General features: G+C 50.8%; 2 pseudogenes, besides 2 other annotated features; both read right to left on the bottom strand.

Annotated features, from left to right (window-relative positions):
- Window positions 2,472-2,576, bottom strand: RNU6-961P (RNA, U6 small nuclear 961, pseudogene; annotated as a pseudogene).
- On the bottom strand, window positions 2,742-3,035 carry RN7SL140P (RNA, 7SL, cytoplasmic 140, pseudogene; annotated as a pseudogene).
- Window positions 7,124-7,973: an enhancer, noted in NCBI's record as "H3K4me1 hESC enhancer chr2:20370169-20371018 (GRCh37/hg19 assembly coordinates)". NCBI's record gives its function as "activates a minimal SCP1, AML or CMV promoter by ChIP-STARR-seq in naive H9 embryonic stem cells {active_cell/tissue: H9 hESC(naive)}" and the evidence as "EXISTENCE:reporter gene assay evidence [ECO:0000049][PMID:30033119]".
- Window positions 12,090-12,169: an enhancer, noted in NCBI's record as "active region_15381". NCBI's record gives its function as "activates an Ori minimal core promoter by ATAC-STARR-seq in GM12878 lymphoblastoid cells {active_cell/tissue: GM12878}" and the evidence as "EXISTENCE:reporter gene assay evidence [ECO:0000049][PMID:35858748]".

The raw sequence follows: 13,610 nt of genomic DNA, 5'->3' as shown, positions 1-13,610 counted from the left end.
GTGTCAGACACGCAATCTGAGACCTTGGGAAAGAAAGGACCTTGTGGCCAAGGAATGTGGCTCAGTGACCTGTGTATGTGTACGTGTGTGTATGTGTGTGTGCGTGAGCACGCGTGTGCGCACGTGTGTGTGTCTCTCTGTATCTGTGTGTGCATGAATGTGCAATGAGAGCTGGCTAGGGCAGCAATGTTCCTCCTCAGAACACTGAAATTGGTAATGGTCATCTGATGACAGCCCCGGGAACTTCTCCCTGCCTCGCTGGCATGCCACCCTTCCTTCCCCTTCCTAGGGGACACCCACTCACACCTGCCCTCACTGTAATGCCCAGTGGCCCCTGCCTTCTCAGCCTCTCCTCATCCAAACAGGCTCTCAGAATATCCTCTGAGAAACTCACTTCTCCTGAGCTGTTGGTGGCTGAAAATGAGGCCTCCTGTGTGGCCCTCCCAGCCACTCTCACCTTCCAGGGACAGTCCTCCTGTCCCTACGTGCGCAGCGTCAGCTATGCCCAGGGAGGACCTTGGCTTTCTAGGACACAGAGGCAGCCTGCTCTTGCCTGGCTCCTGCTGGAGATGGAAGACATGCCCGGCTGTGGACTACAGGCAGCTGAAACCAATCACAGCCACCATGACACATTCCAGCCTCTGAGGCCAGACTGAGCCATGAGACTCTCCTACCTACTTGCTGACACACCTGAGAGGCCTCGGGCACAAGGAGACACTTCCTGGCCATAGTTGAAGCCACAGATATAGGTGTCGGGGGACATAGGTGAGACGCTGGTGGGGCAGGAAAAGTGCGTGTGATGCATGGTGTTGGTGCCAGACAGGTGTATGGAAGATATTAGAGAGATCCTAAAAGGAGTGAAAAAGTTGTAATCTCCTCTCCCATCTATCCTCTACACACACCTCCAGTATTATTTTTTCTATCTCAGCCAGTCTAGCTATTCAATGATACATGGTGGTGGTGTTAGGGAGGTATGTGGTGTTCCTGGAAGACATGAGAAAGATACACAGATCATGGAGAAGGCAAAGGTTCTAATCTCATCTTCAGTTTGTTCTCTACACACACACTACCGTTATCATCTTCCTGATCTCAGCCAACTTGGCTGTTCAATGATGATCAAGTTCTTAGGGTAAACATTAGTGTCTCCTAAACCCCAAAGATAAGATGGGAAAGGGTCTTCAGGCCCACACCCTTGCCACAAGGAGATATGTTACAATGAAAGTAAATTTCAGACCATATTCTGCCACAACGACATACTTTTATTAGCAAATAGTCACAAAAATAGTCATTTGGCCCCTCCACTAAACTTGGGGCATCACCTTTCTCTACCTCTAGGCTTGCTGATAAGCACTCACATGGGAAGTCCAGTAGCTCAAAGATATGGCGATGTTCTGTCAGCGGGACCAGCCGAGCTTCTGGCTGGGCCAGGAGACAGAGTCGTCAAGGCCAAGAGGGGACTCAGAATGAAATGGGAATAGACCCAGAGCACCAGTCCCTGCTTGTCAGGCACCCAGGTTTGCTGGATTCTTCTGTCTTGTTCAAGCAGAGACATAGGTGCCTAAACCATCTTTCCAGCTGAATATAGTTCTTGAACATCACTCACTTCACCAACAACAAATTACCTGGATATTGTTTATGCTAGTTAATGAATTTTGGGGAGCAGATTTAAATAACTATATTTGAAGCCTTTGCTAGCCACTTCTAGGGTGTGAGTTACTTTAAGTGTTAACTCATCAACCCTAGAGCATACATTACAATTAGCTCACACATAGAGACACTATCTCTTCTGTTCATACAATGGAGCTTTAAAGTAAGTCACAGACATTACACTAACCTGGGGTGTAACCCTTGGTGCTATTGACATTTTGAGCCAGAGAATTCTTTGTTGGGGTGGGGGGCAATCTGAGCATTGCAGCCTTTAGCAATAAAAACCAATACTTGGCATTTATCCAATAGGTAATAGTAGCATATCCCCCCCTCCGCCACCAAGTTGTGATGACCAAAAGGCCACCATACCTTGCCAACTGTCCCCTGGGGACAAAATCTCTCCAGGTTGAGAACCATTGAACTAGAGTGACCATATTTATTGTCCACTCTGGGACACTTTCTTCTTAAACTTACATATCAGAAAATGTTAACTAAACACAAACATAGGGAGACTAGTATCATCAACACACCACCACCTCATGTATCCACCACTAAAACTCCATAATTGTCAACTCAACCAATTTTATTTCGTCTCTACTCCCACTCACATTCGGCCACCACTTCCCCTTGCTAGATTGGTTTGAAGCAAATTCTAGACAATATTCATCTATAAATATCTAAGCGTATGTCTTCATTTTTTAGATTTTTTAGTTGGCACATAGTAATTGTACATGTTTATGGGGTACATAGTGATGTTGAGAGGCATATAATGTGTACTGATCAAATCAGGGTAATTGACATATTCATCTCTCAAACATTCATCATAAAATATGGAATGCTTCACAAATTTGCATGTGATCCTTTGTGCAGGGGCCATGCTAATCTCTGTATCATTCCAATTTTAGTATATGTGCTGCCAGAGTGAGCACTAGATCGATTGATCTATCTATCAATCAATCTATCTATCTTTAAAAGATAAGAACTGTTTTTTGTTTTTTTTTTTTAGATGAGGTCTCACTATGTTGCCCAGGCTGGAGTGCAGTGGCTCCACTGAAAGGAGTGAAGCCTGAATTCCACTGCACTCCAGCCTGGGCAACACAGTGAGAGCAGTGGGATCCAGCCTGGGCAATGTACCCAGAGCAGGCGCAATCCCACTACTGATTGGCACAAGAGTTCTGACCGGCTCCGTTTCCAACCTGGGTTGGTTCCCCCTTTTTAGGCAAACTGGTGGTCCCCTGCTCCCAAGAGGTCGCCATATTGATGCCAAACTTAGTGTGTACACCCAATTGGCATAACGCGCTACAGCCCAGAATTCCTGGGGCCAAGTGATCCTCCTGCCTCAGCCTCCAGAGTAGCTGAGAATACAGGCATGCACTATCATGCCCGACAGAACTCTTTTTTTGTTTGTTTGTTTTTTGAGACAGTCTCGCTCTGTCCCCCCAGGCTGGAGTGCAGTAGCATGATTTAGGCTCACTGCAACCTCTGCCTCCTGGATTCAAGCAATTCTTGTGCCTCAGCCTCCCGAGTAGCTGGGATTACAGGCATGTGCCACCTTGCCTGGCTAATTTTTGTATTTTTTAGTGGAGACGGGGTTTTGCCATGTTGGCCAGGCTGGTCTCGAACTCCTGGCCCCATGTGATCCACACGCCTTGGCCTCCCAAAGTGCCGGGATTACAGGCATAAGCCATCGTGCCTGGCCCAGAATTCTTTTTTTTTTTAAATGTAACTATAATATTATTATACTTTAAAAATTAAAAATAATTCTTTAATATCATAAAATATCCAGTAGGTAAAACCAGGATACTCTTGAGAGTGTAATGGGCAATCAGTTTACTAGGAAAAGCAGGCATAAGTTGGAACTGTCCAGGCAAACCAGGACTGTGCCAGGCATATGGAGCATGTGTTTTCCTTAAATATAACCCTTTCTAATGCATGTGTCTGAAAAGTCATTCCCCTGCTCAAAGCCTCTAAAGGCTCCCAGCACCTAAATACAAAGTCTCGACTCCGCCCAAGTCTCAAGGCCCTCTGTGGTGTGCCCACCACTTGCTCCTGTCTTCTCCTCCAATATCCTCCTGATGTGGTTCCAGCTGGTAGCTGCATCACCCAAGGAATCTGGTGACTGCCACCACTCTCTGATGCTCAGAGATGTTGCTGCATGGGGCATGGCCCTGTGCAAGCTGGAGGCACTGGTGGGCAACCTGGATATGGCTTTTTTGTTCATTTGGATTTTAGCTGTCCCTCTAAGTTACCTGAATTTGAATGTTGGCAGAAGTAGGATGTTAGGGTTTGCCATGAAAACAGTTCTGGGCTAGAAGTGGCTCAACCTGGCCTGATTTCTTTTTGCAGGGGAAAGGGGTCTCTTCCTTCTTACCTTTCTTTTTTGAAACATGTATCCGGGGCGTACTTTGCTCTTGAGAGACTAAAACTGCTAATTCCCAAATGCGGAGGGCACCTGTCTATTCTCAGCCATGCCCAGGGCAGGGCACAGAGCTGGGGCTCCACCATGGTGTGCAGAGAGAGCTGCTGGGAGTGTGGGTGCCATCATCCCTGCACAGACAGACGACAGACACACAGAGCTCGGCCTGTTAGATGAGTGTCAGCTCCACTGCTTCCCCAGGGGCTTCTTGGAGCCCAGGGCTCCCGCTAAGGATCAACTGCCTTCTGTGCCTGGAAGAAGCAGAATTTCTTTCCTCTTTATAATCTGAGCTCCACAGTCAGGTTTGCTCAGTGACTCCTGTCTCTAAGTCCCTGCAAAGCTCCTGAAGGTTGAATTTGGGGACTTCTGGCCGAGTACAGCTGAAGAATGAAAGAAAGCCATTCTGCTTGACATGAAGCTAACAAATAACTAGAAAACTTTTCCAGGCCCTGCAAGGATATAATCCTTGGAGCTGTCTCAGCCTGCATGCCCGGGGCCAACTGGCCATGCAGTTCCTGGTCATCAACCACCAGGATGCCTGCCAGACAGACCTCACCCGCCTGCTGTCAGAACCCCTTTACTCCCTGCATTAGCCAGGCCGCCATCCATCCACTCAGCAGAGAGGTCTCGTTTGCCTGGGTCCCCACCCAGCCCATAACAATGCCCAGTACCTGGTGCAGCTTCGTGGTGGCCTGCTGCTTGCCCTGTCCTATGGTGGGTGCTCGTTAGGGCCCTGGGGATCCTTTCCTGCTAGCACACCTTCATTCATTTGCTTATTGAGGATCTACCATGTGTGCCGGGCACAGGAGTAGGTGCTGGGACACATTAACACCAACAACAATTCCTGCTGCATCACGGGGCTTCCGTCCCAGCAGATCGAGCACCCAGGGCAACCATGATGAATTTTCATACAGGAGTTGGCTTCTCCTCTCTTCCCAGAAGCCCTGGGATCCTTTTGCAAATTCTTCTCCTCTTCCCAAGGGACCTGGTTTGCAGAGTAAGGGGCCTTCACAGAGGCCTGCCCAGGTCAGGCCACAAAAGGTTGCATTGCAACCTCACCCTGGGCAATGTTCCCAGTCCCTCCACCTACAGAATAGATCTGTCAAGTGGCTGTTCTCTGAGGAAAGGAGATGGGGTTCAAGATAATTTGCTATTTCCACTGGAGTGCAGTGTATGTCATGCGTGTGTGTTGTGCGTATGGCAGTGGGGATTTAGGCTTCTATGAGCAATATGGTGAATTCTGTGAGGATTTTTATGTGGCATCCAAGAGGATTCTATGAAGCTTCTACATGGATTTCATTAAGATCACATAAGGATTTTATCTTCATCCACAAGAAGTAGGCATGGGTTCTATAAAGATTCTAAGAGGTCTTACTTAGTGTGTGAGCAGCTGAAGCCTTGAAGTGTGGGTGGATGAGCCAGTGCTTTGCTTTCAGTTGCACCCGCCCAGCCAGAAGTGAGCTCTCGCCCCCACTTCTCTTCCCCTATAACCTGAGAGCATTTCTTGTCTGCTGGGCTCTTCTTTTGCCCTCTACAGAACCAATTTAATGAAATGAATAAAAAAAGGAATAAAAGGAAAAGGGCAAACAGCACATGGGGCCCTTGGCAGAGGACAGCCTCCGACATGAAAGACTCCGAGGCACATCAAAGATGCCGAGAGACAAACACACAGCGCCCGCCCCTGCCTGCACCATCACTGTGACTTTCCAAGCCCCAGCAGCTCCCCAGAGCCCTCCTTTTCTGAGGCTTAGGGATGCGGGTAAGTGGGCCACGGCCCTGGCAGCCTGAGAAGGTTCAGCTGCTCCCACTTCTGCTGGCTCCTGGGCAACTCTCTGCAGGTCCCCACAGGCCCCATTCTCCACCCCGGGTGGTGGAGGACAGCCACACACAAGCAGCCGGAAAGAAATCAGAGCGTGCTCAGGCCTGGGGCTGGGGTTGGAGGGGAGAAGAGGGAGGGCCCAGACCTGGGAGTGGGCAGGGCTCCTGTGAGTTGGAACCTCAAGACCTTCCTCCTCCAAGAAACACTTCTCGGCAGCTGGCTCCATTCCGGCGGGCGAAATTGTTGTTTTTCATTTTATCTGACTTTCCTCTAGGGCCAGTGCTGTCCGGCAGATTTTTCTGCATTGATGAAAATGTTCTTTATCTGCACTATCTGACACAATAGCCTTTAACCAAAGGTGGCTATTGAGCGCTTGAAATGTGGCTATTATGACTAAGGAACTGAATTTTACATTGTACTTAATTTTAATGAATTTAAATATAAATTATCAAATGCGGCTAGTAGCACCTGTGTTAGACAGTGCGGCCTGTGAACAGGGCTCTTGTTTGATTCGTTGGTGCCCTCCTCTCTAAAACTGCAGCACCCCCAAGAGGGTCTGGCCCAGGCTGGGCTCAGCAGGCTTCAGGCTTTCTGTCTTGCGGGACTTCCTCACAGCTCACACCTGTCTGCAGTGGTGGTTTTTGTTAGTTGGTCCCCACTGGGCACAGGTCACCAGGGCTGAGGGTATGCCTAGGTCTGAGGGTGACTGAGGAGATCCAGGCTCTAGCCTGAGCATAGCCCCATGCTTTGTGTGTGACCCTGGGCAGGTCTGCCCCTCTGCAGTGAGGGAACAATGCTTGACTATGCCTGAGGTTTAATGACACCCCCCGACCATCCCCCCTCAATCTGCCCCAGTGGCCTGGGATCAGGGAAGTAAAGCCCACAGGCATTCTGGGTCAGCGTCCTTGTTTCTCCTCTTCTCCCATCAGGCCCTCCAATGGAGATCATTATCCAAATGATAATGATTAACACTTGGCTTTGGGGTCAGACTAGCTTTAAATCTCAGCCCCACTGCTTACTGCCTGTGGAGCTCCAGTACCTTTGGCTGTGTAGAGTGGGGGTTACATTTGGTGTCAGAGGTCCTGGGTTTGAGTCAGCGGTGTGCTAGAGACAACTTGTACACACTCATGAGAACAGCTTGTCCTATTTTCGAGGGATTTTCTGAGCCAATTGATAAACACAATTGTTTAATAAAACAATTAAATTATATGAAATTGTTAAATGCCTCTATGTCATCTACTACATGTGTGGTTCTCGAGGGCAAGGATAAGGTGGGAATTATCTATGACAGTCACGCCAGGGACTTTTCCAAACTCTCTTCCTCCTGCAGTTCCGATGCACCTGTTCCTCCTTCGGGTGTGAGCAGAAGGAAAAGAGGGCAGGGACCACTATGCCACCCCTCGCTGTGTCAAATGCAGAGACTAACAGGCCCCACGAGGCCTCTTGTTCTGTTGTGTGGCTGCCCTGGGTACCTGTCCAGCTGCCCCTGGGGCTGTGAGAAGGCTGGGAGCTGCTGTAGGGAAGTCTGGATTCTGGGTCTCTCCATCCAGAACCCTGGAGTCCGCCCATGTCAGGAGCAGGAAGGAAACACTTGTTTTCCTGCACATGGTATGTATGGTGCAATGATAAAGCCAGGAGGTGCTGGCTGACACAGCACAGCATGGGACTTCCACAGCAAGTCCCCAGGGCACTGCCCACGGCAAGCCCTTCTCCAAACCCGAGGCTGAGTCGCGCCGCGCACTGGCTGCCCTAAGTGTGGTGGCTGCGCCAGGGGCAGGCTGAGCTCACAATTGGTTAGCCCAGCCTTATATTTTTGGTTATACTGTTCTGCTCCCCCACACACATACAGACCCAAGATTTAATGCACGTGCATTTTTTTTTCTGGGAAAATTGTCTATGGATTTCATCAGATGCTCCGAGGGACTCTGATCCCTTTATCATTGCACTAAATGGTGACTAGAAGGAGGCCTTGGCCTTGGAGCTGGGAGATGTGGCTTAGAATTCTCATCAGTTCTAAATTGCTGCATGAACTCGACAAGCCACTTTATTTTTTGCTCTCTAAAATAAGGCAACAACCTTGTCTTAAGTGGTGATTTAAAAACAGGCTCACAATCGTGTTCACATATCCTTTGACACGCTTCCCATGAAAAGATGGAATTCAATTGTCCTTCCTTCAGTATGGGCCAAGTTTGATGAGACACTGCTGATTAATAGAGGCGGAAATGGTGCTGCATGACTCTAGGGTCTAGGTTAGAAAAGGGAATGCAGCTTCGGCCTGGCTTGCTCTTGCTCAGGACGCACACCCCATGAGGCCTGAGCCCACATAAGAGGTCCAGCTACCCTGACACCGCCATGCTGGAGGGAGGCGTGGCTGCAAGGAGATAGACAGAGGAGTGTGAGGCACCCCAGCTGTGCCTGCCCCCTGCCATCGGGTCTTCCCACCCCAGGCGCAGGCATGTGAGTGAATGAGCAGCTTCGGATGATAATAGCCTCCAGCCTCCAAGCTGCCCCAGCTGAAGCCAAGTGGAGCAGCAACAACTGCCCGCCCAGCCCTGCCCACTTTGCATATTCATGAGCAAAATAAATACTGCTGTTTTTGTTTTAAACTCCTAAGTGTCGGGGTGGTTTGTTACGCAGTGTTAGGTAATATCTGGGCACCCTGCCTACCCTCAAGGGAAGCTGTAAGCATCACTTGATGTAATACCTTTCACATGCCAGGTACTCGGCAACACTGAATGTATGGGACCTGCAAATCGACCAGGTGATGGGGTAACTGGGACCTGATGGGACTTCTGCTTAGCCATCTAAGTTGCTAGGAGCTTTCTGGAGAAGAGGGTTATTTGCCCCAGCCCAGTGGGTCCACAGGTTTCCTGGAGAGGGCGTGTGTCCCTGGACAAGAACCAGTCCCTGTGGGGGAAGACCAGATAGGGAGGTGTTCTTTTTCCTGTTGGCTATTGGTCATGACAGGCGTCCCAGGAAGAGGTGGGGAGCGTGAGGAGGAACTGGGAGCAGTGGGCCGAGGCTGGGCTGGGATAGCAGTGGTCCCAGTCCCAGCAGGCCCTGCAGCCTGGCCTCTCTTCAGACCGCAGCCTCGCTCTGTGCATTCTGTTATCCTCGCGCAATCACCCCGACTATTTACTGCTCTCACTCCCTCACAGTCCAGGCACTCCTCCAGGGAAGGGGCTGTATTCAGCACAGTTTGAAGCCCCAGAACTTAACACACAGCCTATAGGGAGTTAGGTGTCCAATAAATGTGTGTTGAAAGTCAAACTCAGTGCATCTCGCCGAGTCGCTAATGCCCTGGACCAAGGGCGGGCTGGCTGGGAGGCGAAGTGGCCCCATCGAAAGTGACTCTGCAGGCGTCAGAGGGACCAGTGTGGGAGCCCTTCTCCCTGTGGGGAGTGGAGGCCTAGAGGGCAGTGCTGTCGACTCAGGCTGAGTTTGGGGGTGGTCCCTGTTTTGGTTTGTACCCCATATGCCATGGCCAAATCCCTGTAGCAATAACTTGCCCAGTGCTGCCGGTCCTGTGGGATGAGGGTCCCACTCCCGGGGCCCTGCTCCTCAGGGCCAGATCCCTGCCCACCAACCGGGCGAGGCTCCGATCCCCTGCCCCATCACAGCTGACTGGCTGAGGCCCCTCCCTGGCTGGTCCTACAGCGCTGACTGCACGTTCTACCCACTCATGACTTCTCCCACAAGGAAGTTTGCCCAGGTGCAGAACTCAGAGCCACATGAAGAGGCTGCAGAAGAAAAGGACGACTCGTCTGGGGCTCTTAGACCCTCAGGAAGCAACCCAAGCTGCCCTGTGCCCACACTCCAGCCTGAATTTCCTATCAGACACAGAGCTTTACAGCAGGAAGACCTGCCCGCCAGAGCCTCGGGGCCCGGCCGCTCCATCTGCCTGCCCTTGGCCTGGATGTCTGCCCGAGCAGATGCAATTTAACTTGCTGCAGGAGGAATATCTATAAAAAGTTAACTATCATCATAAAAGCAGCCTGTCCACCCAGGGCTGGGCTGCTGGAGGGAGGCCCAGCAGCTGGGTCAGTCCCCACTTTGGAGACCATGACTCTAACATCCAGACGTCTCTTCCGTGCCCCCCACTCATCTCAAAAAGATGTCTTGGCCCCTGATGTCAGAGCTCCCCGATGGGAAGCAGGGTGGCCTCGTGCTGCGTGTCACAGCCATCCCTCAGAACTGTCCATGCCATGCAGGGAGGACCCTGAAGCCCCGTGCTCTGGAGAAAGGACCACATCATGGGGCGGCAGGTGTGGCCCAGCGCCCTGCAGCAGAGGTGCAGGCTGAGCTGCCTGAATGGGGCTTCTCTCTGGGGCCTTTGAGTACGAGAGAAAACATGAGAGCAAGGAGGGTGGTGTTCCACAGGTGTGTGGACCGGCGGACAGCTATCTCAGGCCTTTGTTCAAGGGGGTATTAGGGGAAATGGCTCCCACGGAGGAGGCTTTGTTAGTTCGCCCCAGTCCAGCACTGCCTGACCCCCGAGTTGCTAGAATTGCCACTAAGCTTTTAGGGAGGGGAGGTTCCAGGGGTGGCATTCTTGGCTGGGGAGGGTTTATCTCTCAGCCAAATGCTGGTCACAGCTGCGGTGGCCCTGAAGCACCCTCCGTCCTGTGCAGTGCTCAGGGCACCCCCACCCTACCCACCAAGATGGGAAAGGTAAAGATGGCAAGGTGAGCTGTGGCTGGCTCGTGGAGCTCACTGTGCCCATCTTCCGGTATTTGGAGGGCTTTTTTTCTTTCTTCCCACACTGCCCACATCCCCTTTTCTGGGCCTGGCCAACCCCTACATCCTTGGCACACAGCGATGGCCATGGATGAGCACTGGACTCCAGGTGAAGAGAGAGAGACTCAGCTTCATTCCACGCTGGCCTTGTACTGACAGGGGCTGGCTTGGCGATGTGATGGACACATTCCTGGGATATCTTCTGTCTGTAAAATCTGAAGTCAGACTCCCTCGTTCTCTGGGCACAGTCAGAGAGAGGATGGATAGGACATAACAGCCAAGGCAGGGCCTGAAGAAGAGGAGCAGAAGGCCTGAGTGGCCATGCCTGGATACAGAGGGAGGCCTGAGGGGAAGGCTTGCTCCCCATCTCAAGAATGGGTCCCTGTGGGGACATCTGGGGACAAGGGGGTGAGAGGAGCCACAGGGGACCTCCTTCTACCGAGGCTTCCAATGGGCTGGGAGACATGACCACTGTCTGTGGTTACTTCAGGGCTCTCTGTATGTGACTGGAGGACGGAGAGGAAGGTGTGCAGTGGTAGTAACGCTGGCCAGGTGTGGTGGCGCATGCCTGTAGTCCCAGTTGCTTGTGAGGCTGAGATGGAGCATTGCTTGAGCCTAGGAGTATGGGGCTGTAATGAGTTATGATTACACCACTGCATCCAGCCTGGGTGACAAAGCAAGACTCTGTCTCAAAAAAAAATTGTAACACCATTAAGAGCAGATATGGGAGCTAGACTTCCTTGTACACACACACACACACACACACACACACACACACACACACGTTGGAATGCTCAGAAGCTCTGAGCAGGACAGGCAGTAATTATTACACACCTATTGTATCTCCATGAGGCCACTGAGGAAGGAGAGGTCTCTCTGCTGTAGAGGGATTTCAGTTTATCCAGGAAGGACACACACACACACACCAGACACCCAGGCTAGAAGGCAGTGCATGAGTAAGCATTAGGCAGTGGCTGTGTCACCCTGCTCTGTGGATGTGAGTAACGGGGCTGATCAATGCCGTGGGGCAGGCTGGGCTCATGAATCTCTTTCTTCTCAGTTTGGTATGAACCACAGTCGCCCTTTTCCAGACATGAGCATCCACAAATTTTTGAGGTCTTTCTCCCTTGAGATTGTGACAGGCTCCTGCTGTTTAATTTAAATGAGAGTGCATCTCATTTAAACCCTGCTCCCTCACGATGTCCTTGGCAGGCAGGGTCAGCCCCCAGGAGATGGGGAGAGTTTAAGTGGGTTCTACGGTAGAGCACAGAGACACAGCGGCCTGGGGCGGGGGAGGGGAGCTGAGTACACAGGTGGGTGCAGTTATGACCACATCCTCCTGCTTGGCCTCTCAGCTCAGAGACAGGGAGCATTGCTTGAAGTCTTGGGCTGAAGATCCCCATCCCCTGCAAAGAGCTGAGTTAGCAAGTGGAAGGGGTCAGTCACGCTTTGCTGCAGCTAACAATGTGTGTGTGTGTGTGTTTTGTGAGTGTGTATATATATATGTGGTGCATATGTGTGGTGTGTGTGTGTTGTATGTGCATGTGGTGTGTGTATATGGTGTGGGTATGTGGGGTGTAGTATATGTGTGTATGTGGTGTGGTGTGTGTGTGTATGCTTGTGTGGTGTGTGTGGTGTGAACGTGGATACACGTGTGTATGTGTATGCTGTGTATGTGTATGGTGTGTGTGTTATGAGTGTGTTGTGTGTGGTGAGTGTGGGTGTGTGTAGTGTCTGTGTTGTATGTGGTGTGTTGTGAGTGTGTGTTGTGAATCCATCTTGTAAGGGAGGTATGAGTGTGTTGTGTGTTGTGAGTGTGGTATGAGTGTGGTGTGTGTGTTGTGTGTTGTGAGTGTGGTATGAGTGTGTTGTGTGTTGTGAGTGTGGTATGAATGTGGTGCGTGTATTGAGTGTGGTGTGTGTGGTGTGGGTATGGTTTGAGTGTGCTGTGTGTTTTGTGTGAGTGTGGTATGAATGTGCAGTGTGTGTGATGTGTGTTTGAGTTTGTGTGTGGTGCGAGTGTGGTGACTGTGGTATATATATGTGGTGTGTCGTGTGAGTGTGTATTGTGTGTTGTGTGTATTGTGTGTGATGAGTGTGTGATGTGAGTGTGTTGTGTGTGGTGTGTATGTGATGTGAGTGTGTGAGTATAGTATGTGTGTGGTGTCAGTATATGTTGAGTATAGAATGAGTGTGTGTTGTGTGTTGTGAGTGTGGTATGGTGTGAGTTGTGTGTACTGAGTGTGATATGAGTGTGTTGTGTGTTGTGTGGCATGTCTGTGGTGTGGGTGTGTGTTGTTTCATGTGTCGTGTGTTGTGAGTGTGGTGTGTGTGGTGAGTGTGGTATGTGTATGGTGTCAGTGTGTGTTGTGAGTATAGTATGAGTATGTGTTGTTTGTGGTAAGTGTGGTGTGTGTTGTGTGGTGTGTGTTGTGTTGTGAGTCTGGTGTGTTTATGGTGCAAGTGTGTGGTGAGTGTGCTGTGTGCGTGATGTCAATGTTGTGAGTATGGTATGAGTGTGTGTTGTGAATGTGGTGTGTGTGTGGTGGGAGTGTGTGGTGAGTGTGATGTGTGTGTGGTGAGTGTGGTATGTGGTATGTGTGTGGGGTGAGTGTGGTATGTGGTATGTGTGTGGTGTGAGTGTGGTATGTGTGGTGAGTGTGGTGAGTGTGGTGTGTGTGTTGTGAGTGTGGTGTGTGTGGTGTGTATGTGTGGTGTGTGTGGTGAGTGTGGTGTGTGTGTTGTGAGTGTGTGTGGTGTGAGTGTGTGGTGAGCATGGTGTGTGTGTTGAGTGTGGTGTGTTGTGAGTGTGATGTGTGTGGTGTGAGTGTGCTGTGTGTGGTGTGTATGTGTGGTGTGTGGTGTGTGTGGTGTATATGTGGTTGTGTGTGGTGTGAATGTGGTGTATGTGGGGTGTGTGGTGAGTGTGGTGTGGTGTGTCTGTGGTGTGTGTGCTGTGAGTGTGGTGTGTGTGGTGCAAATGTGTGGTGA

Source organism: Homo sapiens, chromosome 2 (assembly GCF_000001405.40).
Source record: "Homo sapiens chromosome 2, GRCh38.p14 Primary Assembly".
Taxonomy (NCBI): Eukaryota; Metazoa; Chordata; class Mammalia; order Primates; family Hominidae; genus Homo; species Homo sapiens.
This window is presented reverse-complemented; position numbering and strand designations above follow the sequence as displayed.